Here is a 4,313-nt window from a genome sequence, read left to right as displayed (position 1 = left end):
CTCCATGTCATATCCTAGGAGCCCAGGATGCCTGGCAAGGAGAGATGGCTGTTTCCCCTTGTTCCTGAATAATTAAATGCCCTTCCATGGCGTCCTTATTGCTTTTCAAACATGCAGTGGACACCAAAAAGCTTGCTGGAGAAGGTTTAAAATTTCTTTTCCATCAAAATAAAGATTCTGTTTTAAACCATAAGAGGAAAAATGTTTAATAAAGAATTTTGAAACTGTATTATATTGAAGTATTTAAAATGTCAGCAGAAGAATTAGGAAAATTTAGGAGGCATTTTTGTTTCCAAAAATAAAATGCCCACCCCTGAATTAAAACATGGGCTTTAGTCATAATTTTTCATGCAGTTTTGAATTTTAATTATAAAAGTGCCAACTATGGAATAATTGGCTGGTACCAAGAATTGATTAATTCACACTTTTTAAATGTTTCTAGTTTCTTTCATTCAAGGACTACCAAGCAACACACAAATACTGGCACAAGCTAGAGATCTGACTTCCAAGTTGGGAGGATAACTTTGGCCTTGCTTTCTTACGCTGAGCAGCTGGGAAGTGGTGTCCACTGTGTGTGTGTGTGTGTGTGTGTGTGTGTGTGTGCACGTGCATGTGTGTGTGTATGTTTGTGTGTGTTCATATGGGTTCTATTAAGAGATGCTTGTTAGTTAATACATTTGTTTAGGAATATTTTTTAAAAATTTATAGTACCATAATATGTACTGACTTATAACCCTTGGCAATCTGTATATTTTCCAGGAATTGCAGATATAAGCATAGCTTTATTTCAAGGTGGGTATACTTAAAATTATGACAAAAAATGATGACAAAAGAAAGCAACAACAATAACAAACAACAAAACCTACTCCAAACCACACACATGCTGGCATACATGCACAAAGGAAACCTTGAAGTCCATTAGTCCAGTCACAGATAGCAGACAACTGAGCTAATCTGTTATCTTCAGATATCAGAGGAATATTGTGCTCTGGTCATCTCCCTACAGGGTCATTTGCTTGGCAGTAGGACAATGCTAGACACATGCTAACGGGGTTAATTGCAGCCACATGTAGGTTTTCTTTTTGGATGACAGGCCACTGCCTTAAAATTGATCCGCACACTGTCGGGGGACTAATTCTGGGCTTCCTTTCAGCCCCATCCTCATCCTGTGACAGACTGCTGCTACCTACAGGCCTTCGGACACACTTGCTTGGGTTTGTAGGAAGTGTGGGAACAGGCACAGAGCTGGGTCAGAGGGCATAAAGCCAATGTCGCTACATGCATGTCTCTGCTTTTGTACTGGCCCTGGCCTCATCCTACTTTATGCAGATTTTACCTCCATGAGATCCAGATTGTGCCATATGGGATTCCTGTGTATGACTAGCGAGGACACATGCCTGTGGGAACTATTCTAATGAAGGACCAACCCAGGCGCTGCTGCCTGAACAGTTGCTTTTCCCAGGAGATGGTCGCACACAGAGGAGAATTTTTGTAAGGGGGGGTTAGGGGTTATGTCTGGGGGCAAAGGCATTCTCTGTCTGGGAAAAGAGTTGTGTGTCTGGTTCTTTACAGAGTGTGTGTATGGAAATGGGAAGTTTTAGGGTAGAATTTTCTGAATAAAAAATTTACTTTGTTTTCTGTGATTTCTTTTCTCCTTATTTTTTCTCCTTTCTGCTCTTTGTCCTTTTATTATCATTATTTCTTGCACATGGTCTTGTGTATTGCCTTTATCACTTCTGATGTTTGCTTTCCTTCCATATAATTATGCTTAATTTTAAAATGTCACGCTTGGATTTTTTTCTCCAATAGATTGTGTAGCTTATCTGTTGCTTCAAGTTATATTTAGTCATACTTCCTTTGCTTATTCTGCATTACTTAATCAATCCTCATATATTTTGAAGGTATCTCTTCTTCTCTCTCTTTGTGTTATAACTTTGTACATTTGTATTCCTTAGCTTTAAAAATCCTCTCTCTTCCTTTTTTCAAATGTCGCTGTTTGTAACTCTTTGTCATATGATTTTATTTAATCATTTACGATAGATGCATTCATTTTTATAGTTACTAAACAAAATGAAAACAACAGACGTTCTTTTTGTCTTTCTTCTCATTTCTACTCAAATTTCTCTATATCCTTAGCCCGTTTTAAAGCATTTAATCTTTTTATTCATCTTTCTGCTCTCAGAAATAATTCTTTTCTATTTTATGAATGCATCCATCCCTAAATACAAAATTCTCTCTATTTATAAATATATTTTCTTTTTATACACATATTTCTCTCATCTTTCTAGTTGAAGTGAATAATTTCATCGATTGCAGTTTTATTATGTTTTGTTTTAATAGTTATTATTCTCTGAGTAGTGCTTCTACTTTTCGGAGCTTGAGATTGAGTCTTGCACATAGAAAGAGTTCATAACTTGGAGTCAGATGATCTGGGTAGATCAGTCTGAGATCTGGCTTAGTCTCTAGTAGTAGATTTATTTATGTTCACTTACTCACTTATTCACTAACTACTAATTTAATTAAGCATGTCTCAAAGTCTGCTCTGTACCTCTCCTAGGTAAATACTTGTTCACTTGTATCTGTCATTAACCTGATCTTGGATTCCTCATTTGAAAGAACCCTCTTCTAGATTGGGTGATTCATTTTGGTGGGACATTTAGACTTTCTTTTACAAGAAAAGCAATTATGCACATGACTATTTTCCTGATGAAAACTTTTGAAGTTGTCAATAGAAAAAAAATATTGAGAGTTGAGACATGCAAGATATCCTCTTGCTTATATTTTACAACTTCAATTGAATTGGCCAATATCTGTTTCCAAACAACTTTGGTCTTTCATAAAGACATCATCCCTGGAGTTAGTTTCAATTGTGTTTACAGCTGGAGGTGAATTGATAGGTAGGGCTTTTCTTACATGTGGGTAGTATATTTTTACAGATGCTGAGGAGCCTTTTGGCTTCCCCAAATACCTGTGTGGCTTATACCTGATATTCTACAGTTAGAAATTCACTCCTTTATCTTGAGGCGTAGTTTTGTGTTAAAATAGAAACACTCCTGAAAGGGTAATATGTCCAGTCATTAATGCCTCATCATATCGTTTTCTCTAAAGGAAACATTTTGGTAGCTAGAGGAAGCCAGCTTTAGAGGGAAAATTAGAAATTGTAGGGAAGTTTGGTAGTTACTAAAGACACAAGAAATTTATGTTTTGTTTATTATCAGCCCTATTAACAGAGCAACTATTGCCATAGAATAAAACCTGTCTTCGTTCTTCATTGTCAGAGTGGTTAAAAGTCCTGGCTTACCTATGCTGAACTAGAATCATTTTTAATGGGGCCTTCTTTCACATTCAAAAGTAATCCAGTTTTATAAAATATATAGTCATCTTACTTTTAGGGGATATGGTAGAAGACAAGAATTAAAGATACAATGTCACATTCATTGCTTTTAAAAACATTTTATTTTGTTATTTATTATTTTATTATTTATTGATATTTTAGCTATTACATGTTTATATGTTTTCATTTCTTTCAATTGATTTTCTTTGAATCTTTATACATCATTACTACTTTTGGTGTAATTTATTCCACTTTGGGCACTTCTTCCTCTTCTGAACTAAGAACAGATATATTCCTCTAATTCTCCTATCTGATGCCCTGTGAAAGGCTAGTGCCTATCTTCTGTTACAGAGATTAGGCTTGATTTGTGTGAAACCTTTATTCTGGAAGTTTATATGTTATAAAATCAAGGGCAAGAGATTAAGGACTAAACTTTTGCACCTGTCATTTACAGGCTGTAGGACTTTGGACAAGCTATTTAACCTCTTTGAGCCTCGGTTTTCTTTTCTATAATGTGGGGACAATATTATTTACCTCTCAGACATATGGTGAGAATTAAATGAGATCAGATGCACAAAGGCCTGGCACAGAGAAGCAGAATGAGAATATATGATCCTTTGTTTTTGTATGGTTTCACTTAAGGCAGCATATTATTGCAAAGAGGTTACTCTTTATAAAGTAATGCTGTTATAGTAATGATGGTAAAAGTAAGGATATATTAGTGCAATTGTCCAGTTCCTTAGGGAATCACCTTCCTGGTGCTGACTTACTTCTGATTCTCTTTTTCCAGAATAAAGTCCCCTGTTTCACACATTGCCTTAGAATGTTCAGGGGATGTGGAAATATTCTTTTAAATTCCGCCAGGAAACAATGTTACTGAAAGTCCATTTCTGGCCACAAATTTCCCCAGAATTTCAGGGAAATGGTCATGACCACAGAAAAGGCATCATTTCTATTAGGTTTAAAACAAAAGAAAATA

The sequence above is a fragment of the Homo sapiens genome, chromosome 5 (assembly GCF_000001405.40).
Source record: "Homo sapiens chromosome 5, GRCh38.p14 Primary Assembly".
Classification (NCBI taxonomy): Eukaryota; Metazoa; Chordata; class Mammalia; order Primates; family Hominidae; genus Homo; species Homo sapiens.
The sequence above is the reverse complement of the archived record's forward strand: the minus strand, read 5'-3'. Positions refer to the sequence as shown.